Raw genomic sequence first — 17,700 nt, 5'->3', positions numbered from 1 at the left:
GGAGGTTTTTTGGCAGAACTGCCTTTTCTTCAGAGGAGGTGAGTCTATTTATTTATTCTTTTCCATTAAGGCCTTAAACTAATTGGGTGAGGCCTACTCATATTATGGAAAGTATTCTGCTGCACTCAAAATCTACTAATTTAAATGTTAATCTTATATAAAAAAATACCTCATGGAAACTTCTTGAATAACATTTGACGAGATATCAAGGTACTGTGGCCTAGCGAAGTTGATGCATAAAATTAATCATCACATTGTGATTAAATTAGAGAGATTAGCCGATAGTACCTAACCGTCCAGAATAAGGTAGATAAAATTAATTATCACAGTGGGCCACTAAATGTCTACCAGGGGATTGTGACCCACAGGAATCTGTAATGATGGCTAATAGATAAGAATGATAGAATGACAGTGAGGCTATAACAAAAAAATAAATATCTGGTGAGCAGAAAGCTAGTATCAGCCAACATAATGGAAAACTATAATTTGTTTTTCAATATCCAGAGTACTCATGCCCAAATACTATTATAAGTTAGTTCCTCTATGGAAGGAACCTTGAACACCACTGCAATTATATACAAAAGCTGATCTTTCCATCTTTCACCAGTATCTCTATAGCCATTGTTCTGTGTGACTGTTTATTAGAAAGAGGGATATCAGATCTTTTTGAGGTTATTAGATACAGGACCTGAGCCTCCATTAATTCTAGGGAAACCAAAATGCCATCATAACTTAACTGTAGGACTGAGGGTAAATGGTGGCATGATAAAATTTTAGCCCAAGTTCTTCTCACAGTGATGGATCTAAAAAAGCTGTAGAACCACCTCATTTCTTTTCCCCACCACCAAAGTACATAATTTAGATAAATATAACTTGCAGCTGGAACAACCTCACATTTGTTCTCTAATCTTTGAAGTGAGTTCCCTAATGAAAAAATTAGGGTAACTGATAAGCCCTAAAACTCTACACATCTTTCTCCTGGAAAAAAATAGTAAATCAGAAGCCAAATGATACTCTGGGTGAAACAGCAGAGGTTAATGCTGCCTCAAATACACAAATGATTCAGTGATATTTCACCTTATTGTATTCTCAATTTAATTCACTTACATAGTTCTTAAAAAGGAAACAGATGGATCATGGCAGACGACAGAGAACTACGGCATAATTAAGCATGTGAAAACTCAATTGCAGCTCTGTGCTGGATGTAATATCATTACCAGAAGAGATCAATACCTACTGTAACTTTTGGTAAGCTTTTATTGATCTGGAAGATACGTCCTTTTTAATCGCACAAAGAGTGTAAATGTAGTAGTTCAAATTCACCTAGGAAAATATAGACAACACTCACTATCGTATCACAGGGGTAGACTACCTCCATCCTCTCTAGAAGAAGATACCGTTTTCATCTTGGCATTCAACAGAGCATCATTGTGGCCCTCTATTGTAATAATATTGTGTAAATTGGATTTGGTGAGCAGACCATGGCAAATAATTTCCTAGCAAACATGGCTGCCAAGAGTCAGAGATAAAACCTATAATCATAATTACACTGCCATATTGGTTATTACTTTAGTGATTTAATGATCTAGTCCACATCAGAATATGTACTCTAAACTCAAGGTCAAGTTATTTTTCTTTGTACCTACTACCTCCAACAAAAAGGCACAGTCTTGTGTGGAACTTCTTGGATTTTGGAGGAAGAATATATCATGTTTAAGAATATTGTTTTAGCCTATTAGTTAGATAATTCTTAAGGCTGTCAGTTTTGAGGTTCATAGAAAAAGAACTCTTAGGAATAGATTTAGCTCTGTTGCTACTTGACCATGAGACCTAGAAGATTCTATGTTAATAACCAAACTGTAGAGTTTCTATGAAGTGTTGAAACATGCTTTTTAAAATTTATTCATTTTATTTTTATAGATTCAGTGGGTATATATGCAGATTTGTCACATGGATATATTGTGGAAAGCTGAGATTTGGGCTTCTAATGTTCCTATTACCTGAATAATGAACATTGTATCCAGTAGGTAATTTTTCAACTCTCAAGTCCCTCCCAAGCCCCTCTTTTAAAGTCCCCAGCCTTGACTATTTTTCTCTGTTTGTACATGTCTCCCATTTATAAGTGAGAACATGTGGTATTTGATGTTGTGTTTCTGAGTATTTTGACCTCCAGTTACATCCATGTTGCTGCAGAAGACATAATTTTTTTTCTACGGATGTGTAGTATTTCATGGTATTCCACATTTTCTTTATCCAATCATCTTTTGATGGAAACTTAGGTTCATTCCATGACTTTGTTACTGCGACTAGTGCAGTGATAAACATATGAGTGCAGATATATATATATAACAATTTCTCTTTCTTTGGGTAGATACCCAGTAGTGGGATTGCTGGGCCTAATGGTGGTTCTATTTTTACTTCTTTGAGAAATCTCTATACTGTTGTCCATAGAGGTTGTACTAATTCATATTCGCACCAACGGTGTATAAGTGCTCCCTTTTCTCTGCATCTTTGTCGACATCTGTGGTTTTTTGACTTTTTAATAATGGCCATTCCGACCGGTGTGATGTGGCATCTCATTGTGGTTTTAACTTGCATTTCACTGACGGTTAGTGATATTGAGCATTTTATTTTATGTTTCTTGTCCTCTTGTATATCTTCTTTTGAGAAATGTCTGTTCCTATCTTTTCCCCACTTGTTAATGAGATTATTTTTTCTTGTTGAGTTTAGTTCCTTGTAGATTCTGGATTTTAGTCCTTTGTTAGATGCATAGTAACAGGCATTCCTGAGGGAGAAAAAGAAGAAAAATTAAAATATCTGGAAAACATTCTGGATAGGATAATTCAGGAAAACTTCTCTAGTCTATCTAGAAGCATACTTCTTTAAATATGTTTCTTACCAAGAAGGTGAAAAGCTTTGTTGCAAACAGTGTTATTTCAGGGAGTGGATGTATCATATGTAATGAACTTGTCTTGAGATGCATAACAGCTCTGTGTAAAGGGCAAGCCCATTTATGCAATTCACAATACATACCCCCAGTGCTTTGGAACAAGGCTCTTCTTTGTAGCATAAACCACAAGGTTAGGTGACTGCACCTGTTCTCATAAGCTCAGATCTCTCAGATACACCATATCACAAGGTGAGACAGGTACAGCATCAATCTATCACACTATGAAAATAACATTTTGGGATCACACCAAGTAAGTCCAGAGGACAGAATTAATTTATGCAAATAGGTGGCTAGAATCCTATGCCACTTCTCACTTTAACACTGACTCCTCTCTAAATTTAGCATCTAATAGCTTCATAAACTTTCTTTATGATGAGTTGAAGAAAGAGAAAGAAAACTGGGACCAGGTTCGCAGGTGGTTCAGCTTAATGTGTTAATGGGACCAAAAAATACTGGAGCTGCATTAAGTGGCACTTAGGGGTGACTGTAAAGAAAAATAATGAAGGAACAAATCCTTCCTGTACACAGATTTATAAGTAGTGCACTTCGGCATTTACATTGTATATAGAGGGATGGTCTGAAATAAAGATATAGACTCTTGGTCAGTGGTAAATAGTAAATGATTGATTGGTCACTGGTATAGATTAAAAGATTCGAGACAAGCAGTTTGACGGAAGAGGTATTTTGGCTCAAAGTGCTCAGATGTTGTACCTTACGTCAATTTCCACCTGAGATCATTCATTACAGAGGAGACAGTTATCCAGTGATGGTAAGTCACCCTCTATCGTCAGCAACCCCAGTACTGCACAATAGGCCCATGATTAGGAAAGTCACAGTGGCAACATGTACTTCTTTTCACAAAATATTTTAAAGCAGCTGTTTCTACGAAATTCCAAAATTATTAAGTTGTATGGATCAAAGAGTTTGATGAAGGTCCAAGACATTATAATAAACAAACAGCCACTCAGTGGCAACTCGATTACACCAAACATCTTCCAAGTATAAAATTCAGATGTATCTGATATAATAAAATAAAATGACTCCATATAATATCAAAAGGAAACTTTGGTGAATTCCTCTGTAGAACAGAAGACTGAAAAACTTTTCTATGACTCAAAATCCTAAAAAAAAAAATAAAGGAAGAGTGAGGTTTCACGGAACTAAAATAAAGGGTAGGAGGAAGAAAGGAAGGAAGGAGGAAGAAAGAGAGAGAAAGAGAGAAAGATAGATGATAGATAAGGGAAAGAGAAAGAAAGAAGAGAGAAAAGGAGAAAGAAAATAAAAGAAAAAAATAAAAGTAATGAAAGAGGGTTTTCTGAAAGATGGATGACTAGATGCAACCAGGAAGTGCCACTCCCACGGAGAGGGACCGGAATTTTGACTAAACCAACATAATTTTAACACATTTTCAGAGAGAAAATGCTGAATGTGGATGGAAAAAGGATGCACACACCAAGCCTGAAGAGGAAGGAAGCTGGGAACCCCTGTCGGGTACCCAAATGGAAGGGCTGGCTACTGGCCCTGAATGGGTCCTGGAGAAGGGGTGAGTGAAGGAACTGGGGGACTGCCCACTCTCTCCATAGACCTCTGGTATCCTGGTTCCAGAGATTAGGTGGAGATAAGGCTTCAGCAGGTATGGAGTGATCTTTGTGCATAGGACAGCTTCTATGGAACCCAGCCATAAGTGCCATCCCCCAGGGCTCCCCATCTTCCTCTGAGCGACTTTGGCACCAGCTAATAGATGAACTGGAAGAAACAGGGCTGGCTTCCCTGCAGGGTTGGGGTACATCTGTCCTATAGGCCTACTTACCTGCCAGCCTCTCCCAGGCTCCTGCTTGGCCACTCTGCAAGAACATGTACACAATGCAGCCCCCACTACCCGGTACTGATGCTTTGCTCCATCTGAGTGCAACCTAGCAGACCAGGAGCCTTTCAGATCCTCCAGCACATCCAGAACTCAACCCTAAGTATCTGGAGCAGGGAGCTGAGAGCAGGTCCTGGTGCCTAAGAGCTCTGGCTCGTGATTCAGGAATACTAAGTTGGGATCGCTGCCCAGCACTTGAGGGAGGAAGGAGGCCACACCCCCATAAAACTAAGAGAGGTGAGTTCCACAGGTTGCAGGCTGTTGTGGGACCTGGTTGTGCCTCCCTCCACAGGGCTGGTCTAGTAAGAGTGTGACCTGTCTCCCTGAAAAACCTCTACCTAAGGGAGCCCCCACTCTGAAACGCCTAACAACAACAACAACAACAACAAAAAGTCAGACACAGTGCCAGTGATCGGAAGTGACCCAGGAGTGTAGCCGGTGAGAAAGTCACATCTCTCCTGCTCACAATACAGAGCACAGCTGCAAACCAGAAGATGCACAAAAGGCTCGTGCAACAGAGTAAGAGCCTATCTACTACTCATTGCTCACAAGCGCTATCTACTGGATCACAGTCCAAACTACAACAGCAAAAAGCAGCTGCTTCTCTCTCTTGGGAAGCCGAGGGCAAGAATTCAACAACAAAGACCCTGTACAGAGCATTATAAAAACTTTCAGAAGTAAAATAAACTGACTATACTCAATTTACCTACAGTTAAAGCAACACCAACCCTCCCAAATGAGAAATAATCGGTGTAAGAATTCTGGCAATTCAAAAAGCCAGAATGTCCCCTTACATCCAAACAAGCTTAGTAGGACTTCAGCAATGGTTCTTAACCAATCTGAAATGGCGGAAATGACAGATATGGAATTCAGAATCTGGATAGCAAGGAAGCTCATCAAGATTTGGGAGGAAGTGGAAACCAAATCCTAGGAAGCCGAGCAATCCAGTAAAATGATTCAAGAGCTGAAAGACAAAATAGTAATTTTAAGAAAGGCCTAAACTGAATTTCTTGAGTTGAAAATTCAATACAAGAATTTCATAATGCAAACAGAAGTATTAAGAGCAGAATGCATCAAGCTGAAGAAATAATTTCAGAGCTCAAAACTGGTTCTTCAAATTAACTCAGACAAAAATAAAGAAAAAGAATTTTATAAAATGAACAAAACCTCCAAGAAACATGTCATTATTTAAAGAGGCCAAATCTATGACTCGTGTGCATCCCTGAGAGAAAAGGAGAGAGAATAAGCAACTTGGAAAATATATCTGAGTTTATAGTTGATGAAATTTTCCCTAATCTCACTAGAGAGGTAGATTGCAAATTCAACAAATATAGAGAACCCCGGATATATACTATAAAAGATGACCCTCCCCAAGACACATAATTGTCAGATTGACCATGTTCAACACAAAAGAAAAAATCTTAAGGTCACCTAAAGACAAAGGTCAGGTCACATACACAGGGACCCCCATCAGGCTGCCAATAGATCTCTCAGCAGAAACTTTACAAGCTAGAAGTGATTGGGGCCTATTTTCAGTATGTTTAAAGAAAACACATGCCAACTAAGAATTTAATACCTCATTAAACTAAGCTTCAAAAGTGAAGGGAAATAAAATCCTTATCAGACAAGCAAATGCTAAGGGAATTCATTTCAACTAGACCACACTTATGAGAGGTCCTTAAGGGAGTGCTAAACTTGGAATCAAAAGAATGACACTTGCTACCACAAATAGTCACTTAAGCACATATCCCACAAACACTATAAAGCAACTACACAATTAAGTCTACATAACAACCATATAACAGCATGATGACAAGGTAAAAATATCACATATCAACACTAACCCTTAATGTAAATGAGCTAAACGCCCCACTTAAAACACATATGAAATGGCAATCTGGATAAAAAGATGAGAATCAATAGTGTACTGTCTTTAAGAGACCCATCTCACACATAATGACATCCGCAGGCTCAAAATAAAAAGTTGAATAAATATCTGCCCTGCAAACAGAAAATTTTAAAAAGCAGGAATTGCTATGTTTTATATTAGATAAAACAGACTTTAAACTTTTTACAATTAAGAAGCATAAAGAAGGACATTACATAATGATAAAGGGTATAATCCAACAAGAACTAACTATCCTAAATGTCTGCACACCCAGCATTGGAGCACCCAGATTCATAAAACAAGTTCTTCCTGACCTACATGAAGACTCAGACAACCACACAAAAATGGTGGGAAACTTCAAAAATCCACTGACAGCGTTAGACAGATCATTGTGGCAGAAAACTTACAAAGAAACTCTGGATTTAACTCAACACTTGACCAATGGACCCAACAGACATCTACAAAATATTTCACCCCATAACCATAGAATATACATTCTTCTGAATAAAATATAGAACATAGTCCAAGAAAGACCACATGCTAGATCATAAACAAGTTTCAATAATTCAAAAAAATCAAAATAATACCAAGCAGATGTTTGACCATAGTGCAATAAAAATGGAAATCAGTATTAAGAAGATATCTTAAAACTACACAGATATATAGAAATTAAACAACTTATCCTGAATAACTCTTGGATAAACTTTGAAATTAAGGCAGAAATCAAAAAAATCTTTGAAATTAATAAAAATAGGGGCATAACTTATCAAAATATCTGGGATACAGCTAAAGCAGTATTAAAAGGAAAGTTCATAGTGATAAACACCTTCACCAAGAAATTAGATAGACCTCAAATTAACATTCTAACTTTTTTCTAGTTTCTATCCTAAAGAAACTAGAAAAAAAAAACAACCTCAAAGCTGGCAGAAGAAAAGAAATAACTAAAATTAGAGAAAGGTTGAATAAAATTAAAATGTAAAAATTCATACAGAAGATCAATGAAAGCAAGTGTTTGTTCTTCAAAAGACTAAATAAAATTTATAGACCCCCCCCCCCACAGCTAGATTAACAAAGAAAAAGAAAGGCAAGACCCAAATAAACGCAATAGGAAATGACAAAGGTGGTATTACAACCAACCACATAGAAATACAAAAGAACCTCAGAGACTACTATGAATGACTCTATTCATACAAATTAGAAAGTCTAGAGAAATTCCTGAAAGCACAAAATCTCCCAAGATTGAATCATGAAGAGAATGAAACCCAGACTAGAACAATATTAAGTTCTAAAATTGAATCAGTAATAAAGATCTTAACAACCACAAGAGCTCTGGACCAGATGGATTCACAGCTGAATTCTACCAGACATACAAATAATTGATACCAATCCTACTGAAACTCTTCCAAAATATCGGGGAGGATGGGCTCCTCCCTAAATCATTCTATGAGCCAGCATCAGCCTGTACCAAAATCTGGCAGAGACACAATGAACAAAGAAAACTTCAGGCCCGTATCTTTGATAAATATATACACAATAGACACGAAAATCTTCAATAAAATATTAGCAAACCAAGTTCAGCAGCACATCAAAAAGTGAATTCGCTACAATCAAGTAGGCTTTATTCCTGGTATGCAAGCCTATTTCATCATAGACAAATCAGTAAATGTGGTACATCACATAAACAGAATTACAAGTAAAAACCATATGATTATCTCAATAGATGCAGAAAACGATTTCAATAAAAATAAATTTCCTTCATGATAAAGGCTCTCATCAGACTAGGCACTGAAGGAACATACCTCAAATAATAAGAACCATCTATGACAAACCCACAGCCAACATCTACGGAATGGGCAAAAGCTCTAACTACTCCCTTTGAGAACTGAAACAAGACATGCATGCCCACTCACACCACTCCTATTAATAGTACTGGAATACCTAGTCAGAGCAATCAGGCAAGAGAAACAAATTTTAAAAAATCCAAATAGGAAAAGAATAAATTAATCTCTCTTCACTGATTTGTTTCAATACCTAGAAAATCTTAAAGACCCTGCCAGAAGTCTTCTAGAACTAGAACTAATAACTGACTTTAGTAAAGTTTCCAAATACAAAATCAACGTACAAAATTCATTAGCATTTCTTTACAACAACAATGTTCAGGAGAGTGAAAAAATCCCACTTACAATAGCCACAAGGAAAATGAAATACCTAGGAGTACAGCTAATCAAGGAGGTGAAAGATCTGTACAAGAAGAACTAGAAAACACTGCTAAAAGAAATTAGAGACCACACAAATAAATGGAAAAATATTTTATGCTCATGGAGTGGAAGAATCAATATTGTAAAAATGGCCATACTGCCCAGAGCAATCTGAAGATTCAACACTATTCCTATCAACCTACCAATGTAATTTTTCACAGAATTAGGCAAAACTATTCTCAAAGTCAATTGAAACAAAAAAAATAGCCAAATAGCCAAAGCAACCCTAAGCAAAATGATCAAAACCAGAGGTATCACACTACCCTACTTTAAACTACACTATAAAGCTACAGTAACCCAAACAACATGGTACTGGTACAAAAACAGAGACATGGACCAATGATACAGATTAGAAAACTCAGAAATAAAGCCACACACCTACAACTATCTGATTTTTGTCAAGGCTGACCAAAACAAGCAATGGAAACGGACTACCTACTCAATAAATGATTCTGGGATAACAGGCTAGCCATATTCAGAAGACTGAAGCTGGAACCCTATCTTTCACTATATACAAAAACTAACTCAAAATGGATCCAATTTAAATGTAAGACTTCAACCTATAAAAATTCTAGAAGACAACTTAGGAAATACTCTTTTCAACACTGGCCTTGGCAAAGAATTTTTGCCTATGTCCTCAAAAGCAACACAATGAAAACAAAATCAGACAAATTGGACCTAATTAAACAAAAGAGCTTCTACACAGCAAAATAAACCATCAACAAAGTAAACAGACAACCTACAGAATGGGAGAAAATATTCACCAACTGTGCATCTGACAAAGGTCCAATATCCAGAATCCACAGGGAACTTAAACAAATCAACAATAAAAAAAAGAATAACCTCATTTAAAAGAATGGGCAAAGAACATGAACAGACACTCTCCAAAAGAAGACATACAAGCAGCCAACAAACATATAAATAATGCTCAGCATCATTGATCATTAGAGAAATGCAAATCCAAACTTGAAGAGGATACCATCTCACACCAGTTAGAATGGCTATTATTAAAAACTCAGAAAACAACAGATGCTGATGAGGCTGTGGAGGAAAGGAAATCCTTATACGCTCATAGTGGGGATGTAAATTAGTTCAGCCACCGTGGAAAGCAGTATGGAGATTTTTCAAAGAATTTAAGATAGTGTTGCCATTTGACCCAGCAATCTCATTAGTGGATGCATACCCAAGGGAAAACAAATCATTCTACCAAAAAGACACATTAACTTATATGTTCATTGTTACACTATTCACAATAACAAAGACATGGAATCAACCCAGGTGCCCATCTGTGGTAGACTGGGTAAAGAAAATGTGGTACAAATACACCATGGAATACTACACATCAGTAAAAAGAATGAAATCATGTATTTTACAACAACATGGATGCAGTTGGTGGCCATAATTGAGCAAATTAACACAGGAACAGAAACTCAAATACCACGTTTTCATTTATAAGTGGCAGCTAACATTGAGCAAATATGGGCATATATATATATGAACAACAGATACTGTAGACTACAAGAGGCGGGAGAGAGTGAGGTGGCCACAGGTTGAAGAATTACCTATCAGGTACTATGCCCTCTGCCTGGGTAACGGGATTCATACCCCAAACCTTAGCATTATGCAATATTTCCATGTAAGAAACCTGCATATTTACCCCTTGTATTTAAAATAAAACTTAAAAAATAGTTTTAAATTTTGATGACAAGTAAAAAGAATAGAAAACATAAAGAAAAAATGGCCGGGCACGTGGCTCACCCCTATAATGCCAGCACTTTTGGAGGGGGAGGTGGGTGGATCACTTGAGGTCAGGAGTTTGCCACTAGCCTGGCCAACATAATGAAACCCACTCTCTACTAAAAATACAAAAAATAGCTGGGCATGGTGGCAGATGCCTGTATTCCCAGCTACTCGGGAGGCTGAGGCGTGAGAATTGCTCGAACCCGGGAGGCGGAGGTTGCAGTGAGCGGAGATTGGAGTGAGCAGTAGAGTGCACCACTGCACTCCAGCCTGGGCAATAGAGCAAGACTCAGTCAGAAGGAGGAGGAGGAGGAGGAAGAGGAGGAGGCAAACAACAACCAAAGAAAGTCATCATTTTTGAATGGCAAAATTATTCTAGACTTCCTCTACAATACTTTAAAATTCCTTCTTTAAAAAAAATCAGCACTTTTATTACAATGCGAACATTTTATTAAACATTCCTTCATTTTACCATTTTTAATGTATTTAGTGGCTTTGAAAATTTTCATGGTATTATTACATTTTTAAAAGTGAATTTGTTAGCTATATTCCAAACTTATTATGTGCGATAGCAATCTACTTTGAAAAATTCCTCATGGAACGTGGTAATTTGTCAGGTGCCTCCAGTGAGATAACTTGTGTTGATAAATATAAAGAAAAAAAAAACTTGCCCCAAAGCATAAGCTTGTTCAGTGCGAAAGTGGCTATCTTCAAAACTGAAACAGATCCCTTAATATGTTGCCTCTCAAATGTGGCAGTGATGAACGGGCTCACAACAGATTTCTTTCTCAGTTGAGTTTTATTGAACTGTCTTTAATCTTTCTACTGTCTATTATATCCTTGACATACTTGCCAGGTTTAATTTTTTGAAGGGTAGACAAAAAAATTACTCCTCTATTTAAAAGAAAAGAGTCTAGGTTCCTTAGAAAGGCATCCAAGCATCTCTCATTAATCCCAACCATAGTAAAATTACTTTATAAGCAATATTTTAAAAGATAAGTAAACAATCTAGATATAATTGCAACATATATTGTAGAAAAGTGTTAATGTTCTTAATATAAAAAATACAGAATAAAAATATAAAGACCAACAACATATGGAGAAAAATTGCAAGGCATAGGAACACAGCACTGAAAGAAAAAGAAACAAGATGGATAAGATGAATACTTTAAAATGTGGTTACATATATGGTGGGAAGAAATAGTATAGAAGAGCAAGGATAGTAATGGAGAATCTCTAAATCTCCTTTTTTTATTTGACATTGGAACTAAATAAGTTTGTTACTGAAGTCCTTCATAAAAAAGATGAATATAAGTAAAAATTGCATTGTTTGACATGGCTTATTTTTTACATGTGAATTTATAGCTAATATGCTCACAAAATTAGGTGTTAGAATATAAATTTATTTGAAAGCAGGAAGAATAGATTATTGTTAAATTATTTCACATAAATCCAAAATAAATAACTTAAAAATAATTCCATAATTGCAGAAAAATTTCAAGAGAGATTAACACTCTTGAAATTTAAAAACTTAAGAGCTTTGAGAACTAATATAACTGGTAGTTAGAATTTCTATTGATAGCCATAAAATGTACTTTTATTTATGCCTAGATTTATATATATTTTGTTGCTTTAAATGATTCCAGTAAGAGTATCATTCATATTTTAGCCCCTACTCATTTCCACAAAATCTTATAAGAAATGGGTAATTAAGAAATTCATTCATAGGAAAAAAATAGAAGTTATCACATATTTTTTGCTTACAGGATTCTGTGAATTTCTACTTTTAAATTTCTTACTCTACTTAGCTTTAGATATTAACATATAGTTAATAATACAACTAGATTTTAAGATTTTTAAGGGATTCTTGGACAAATATTTTTTTAATATAGCAAAAGTATCAACAAGAAAAAACAATCCAATTTTTATTTATTTTTATTTTTTATTTTTTGAGATGGAGTCTCACTCTGTCCCCCAGGCTAGAGTGCAGTGGCCTGATCTCTGCTCACCGCAAGCTTTGTGTCCCAGGTTGAGGCCATTCTCCTGCCTCATCCTCCCGAGTAGCTGGGACAACAGGCCCCTGCCACCACGCCAGGCTAATTTTTTGTATTTTTAGTAGAGATGGGGTCTCACCGTGTTAGCCAGGATGGTCTCGATCTCTTGACCTCGTGATCTGCCTGTCTCGGCCTCCCAAAGTGCTGGTATTACCACCATGAGCCACCAAGCCTGGCCAACAATCCAATTTTTAAAATGTGCAAAGGATTTGAATACACGTTTCCTCAAAGAACATATGCAAATGCCCAAATAGGCACAGGAAAAGATAGCATCACTAATCATTAAGAAAATGCAAATCAAGCCCGGTGTGGTGGCTCACGCCTGTAATCCCAGCACTTTGGGAGGCCAAGGTGGGCAGATCATGAGGTCAGGAGATCAAGACCATCCTGGCTAACATGGTGAAACCCCGTCTCTACTAAAAAAAATACAAAAAATTAGCCAGGCGTGGTGGCGGGCGCCTGTAGTCCCAGCTACTCGGGAGGCTGAGGCAGGAGAATGGCGTGAACCCGGGAGGCAGAGCTTGCAGTGAGCTGAGATCGAGCTACTGCACTCACTCCAGCCTGGGTGAGAGAGCAAGACTCCGTCTCAAAAAAAAAAAGAAAATGCAAATCAAAACTACAGTAAGATGAGCTATCAATTCACACCCATTAAAATGGCTATTATTATTCAAAAAAAAAACCAAAAACTGAAAATAACAAATGTTGAAAATGTAAAGAAATTGGACCCCTTGTACATTGCTGTGGGAAATGTAAAATGGTGCAGCTACTGTGGAAAACTGTATGGCAGTTCCTAAAAAATTAAATAATATTACCATATGATGGATGGAGCAATTCTGCTTCTGAAAATAGAGTTGTCCCTCAATATCCTCAGAGAATTTGTTCCAGGAACCCCCGAGGATAGCAACATCTGTGGATACTCAAGTCCCTTATGTGAAATGGCATAACATGTGCATATAATTTATATACATCCTCCCGTATACCTTAAGTCATCTCTAGATTACTTTTACCTAATACAATGTAAATGCTATATAAATCATTATACTGTATTTTTTAAAATTTGTATTATTTATTGGTGTATTGTTTATTTTTATTGTTTTTATTTTTAAAAAAACATTTTGGATCTGCAGTCGGTTGAATACGCAGTTGCAGAGCCCACAGATACAGAGGGATGATTGTTTACCATAAAAGAATCGAAAGCAAGGACCAAAACAGATATCTGCATCAATAGATAAACAAAAGTGATATATGCACACAATTGAATATAAATAAACCTTATAAAGGAATGAAATTTAGATATATGCTACAACTTGAATGAACCTTGTGGACAGTGCACTAGGTGAAATAAGCAAGACGCATTTCACTTATATGAGGTACCTAGAAAAGTCAAATTTATGGAGACGGAAAGTAGAACAGAGGTTACAAGGGGCGAAGAGGAGGAAATAAATAAATGAGGAGTTACTGCTTCATGAGGACAAAGCTTAAGTTTAAGACGATAAAAAAGTTCTAGGCATAAAAAATAGTGATGGTGAGCAACAATGTGAATATTACTTAATGCCACTGAACTTTACACTTAAAAATGATTCAGATGGTAAATATGATGGACACTTTATTTTACCATAAGAAAAGTCTTCAAAAATAACTTTCTTTGTAGCTAAAGAAAAACAACAAGATATATTTCTGTGTAATTTTTATTATTTGATTGTTTGACCCTGTCTCTGTATACCCTTGAGAGCAAGAAATGTAGTTTATATTTGCAAAATCACCTGAGCTAGATGGTTTTAAGGAATAAACATTACTTATTTTTTCATTCTAAGAGTAAAAATGATTCCTATTAAAAATGATTCATAAAAAGTAAAATCAAAAAATTAGATATTAAAGATTGAAAACATTGCCTCTCTCAATAATAATGTAATATCTGGTGAATACTATTCCAAACATGACTCTTGAATATAACTTTAAAAATTAACTTGAATTTAACTTAAAAATTTTAAGATGAAGGAATTCCTAATTTTTATACAAGTATTTTTCTACAACAAAAATATAAGTACTACAATATAACTGCTGGGCCAAAAACCAAGTCTTAAAAGACTGTAGAACATTAAAATCATCATATCCTTTCCAGCCACAATGGTATGAAATCAGGAATAAATACACAGAGGAAGATTTTCAAATATGTCCAAATTAAACAACATATTCCTGAATAATCAATAGGTCAAAGAAGAAATTAAAACTGAAGAAAAATGTATCTTGAAACAAATGAAAATTTTTAAAAAATGTGAAAGCTTATTGGATACAGCAAAAGCAATAAAACTGCAGCAATAAAACCTGCATTAAAAAAAAAAGTCAAATAAAAACCCTAATGTTGCACCTCAGGGAACTAGAAAAAGAAGAACAAAGTAAGCCCAAAGGTAGCAGGAAGAAGAAATAAGAAAACTTCAATCAGAAATAAATGAAATAGAGACTGGAAAGACAAAACAAAACTGAGAGTTGATTTTGAGAAAAGAAAAACAAATTTGACACATTTTTAGCTATGCTAATCAAGAAAAAATGAGAAACAAGTCAAATCAATAAAACCATAATTGAGGACACATTAAAACGGATACTACAGAAATACAAAGGATCATAAAATATTACTATTATGAACAATTATACTCCAACATATTAGATAGCCCAGAAGAAATGGATAAATTCCTATAAACATACAATCTTCCAAAATTGAATGATGTAAAAATAAAAAGTCTGAACAGGCCAATAAAGTACAAAGATATTAAATCTGTAATCAAAACTTTTCCAGCAAAGAAAAGCTCGGGACTAGATGGCTTCACTAATTAATTCTATCAAGCATTTAAAGCCAATTCTTCTCCAACTCTTCCAAAAAATTTAAACTTATTTGATAAAGCCAATTACTGTTATACCAAAGCTAAATAAGGAGACTACAGAAAAAAAAATTATAGGCCTAATAAACACACATGCAAAACCTCAACAACATACTAGGAAACTAAATTCAAAAGCCCATTAGGAGGATCATACACCATGATCGCATGGAATTTATCCTTAGGATGCTAGGATGGTTCAATCAATAAACAAGATACATCACATTAACAGAATGAAGTATAAAAAGGTCATGCCAATAGACACAGAAAAGTCTTGGACAAAATTCAACATCCTTTTGTGAGTAAAACTCAACAAATTAGGAATAGAAGAAACACTTCAACATAACAAAAGTTATGCATGTCAATTTTCTAAGTTCGGAGTCAGTGTTATAAACTCAATAATTAAAAGCTGAAAATTTTTCTTTAAAATCAGAAATAAGACAAGGGTGGTCACCTTCATCACTCTTACTCAGCATAGTACTGGAAGTCCTTTTAGAGAAATTATGCAAAAGGGAAGAAAAAGGCATCCAAATGAGAAAAAAAATGAACTTGTTGATATTTGCAGATGACATGATCTTATATATAGAAACCTCAAAAGACTTCATCAAAAAAACTGTTAGAACTAATAAACTAATTCAATAAACTTGCAGGATAAAAGTCAACATACAAAAAATGAGTTGCATTCTTATACACTAACACGAAACTATCTAAAAAAAGAAATTTAAAAAGAATACCAGGAAAATAGCAGATAGGAAACAGCACTAACTTTCAGCTCCCATTCGGATAAACAGAGCAGCCTCTGGAGACCCACAATGTGAACTTTTGCTCCAAGAACTATAGCGGGAACATACCAGGAAAGCCAAGAGAATCCACAGACCCTTTGAAGGAGGTGGATAGCCACTGCAGGCTCTGTGGGAGAGCCAAGAAACTGTGAGTCAGCTTGCTTTTCTAACTTGTATAAGATCATATACAAGCCAGGAGTGAGAGTGAGAGTATATATAAGATCATATGCAAGCCACTCAGTGGGAGTGAGACCAGCCTTTCAGGCCGCGGGCTGCGTGGGAGCTGGGAGAGTTCTGTGACTGGCCGCTTTCCCCCACTTCCCTGGCAACCTGTGTGATGCAGCAAAGGCAGCCAATACCCCCAGGAACATAACTCCATTGGCATGAAAACCACACCCCCATTCCCTACAGAAGACACCTCAAGCCCCACCAAAGGAGAATCTGAGCTCAGACACGCCTAACTCTGCCATCACCTGATGGTCTTTTTTTTTTTTTTTTTTTTTTTTTTGAGACGGAGTCTTGCTCCATAGCCCAGGCTGGAGTGCAGTGGCGCGATCTCGGCTCACTGCAAGCTCTGCCTCCCGGGTTCATGCCATTCTCCTGCCTCAGCCTCCCGAGTAGCTGGGACTACAGGAGCCCACCACCGAGCCTGGCTCATTTTTTTTTCTGTATTTTTTTAGTAGGGACGGGGTTTCACTGTGTTAGCCAGGATGGTCTCAATCTCCTGACCTCGTGATCCGTCAGCCTTGGCTTCTCAAAGTGCTGGGATTACAGGCATGAGCCACTGCACCCGGCCACCTGATGGTCTTTCTCTACCCAACCTGGTAGCCAAAGATGAAGGGCATAATCCCTTGGAAGCTCTGTGGCCCCACCTTACCCTAGGGCAAGCTTGTATCCTCCCTATACAACAGCAGCTGATGTAATCTTGAAAGCGCCACCTCCTGGCTGGAGGCCAACCAACAGAAAACCAGTGTGCTTAACAAAAATACAACCAAGGACCGTCATAAAGTTCGCTTAACTTCCCCTGTTACCTCCACAGAAGCAGCTGCTGGTATCCATGGCTGAGAGACCTGAAGACAGATCACATCACAGGTCTCTTTGCAGACACTACCCATTACCAGCCTGGAGCCCAGTAGCTCTGCTGGGTGGCTAGATCCAGAAGAGAAATAACAATCACTGCAGTTCAGATCTCAGGAAGCCCTATCCCTAGGAGAAAGGGTAGAGCACCACATCAAGGGAGTACCCCATGTAACAAAAGAATCTGAACAGCAGTCCTTGAGTCCCAGACCTT

At 36.7% G+C, this 17,700-nt stretch overlaps 1 long non-coding RNA gene across 1 annotated transcript; it reads right to left on the bottom strand.

Annotated features, from left to right (window-relative positions):
* Positions 1-1,871: 1,871 nt before the first annotated feature.
* On the bottom strand, positions 1,872-16,750 carry LOC124900869 (uncharacterized). The gene is made up of 2 exons (XR_007058486.1): positions 16,394-16,750; positions 1,872-2,785 (listed from the first exon to the last, which is right to left on the bottom strand). It is a non-coding gene; the product is annotated as an uncharacterized LOC124900869 (long non-coding RNA).
* Between the last annotated feature and the right edge of the window lie 950 nt (positions 16,751-17,700).

Source organism: Homo sapiens, chromosome 4 (genome assembly GCF_000001405.40).
Source record: "Homo sapiens chromosome 4, GRCh38.p14 Primary Assembly".
Classification (NCBI taxonomy): Eukaryota; Metazoa; Chordata; class Mammalia; order Primates; family Hominidae; genus Homo; species Homo sapiens.
The sequence above is the reverse complement of the archived record's forward strand: the minus strand, read 5'-3'. Positions and strand labels throughout refer to the sequence as shown.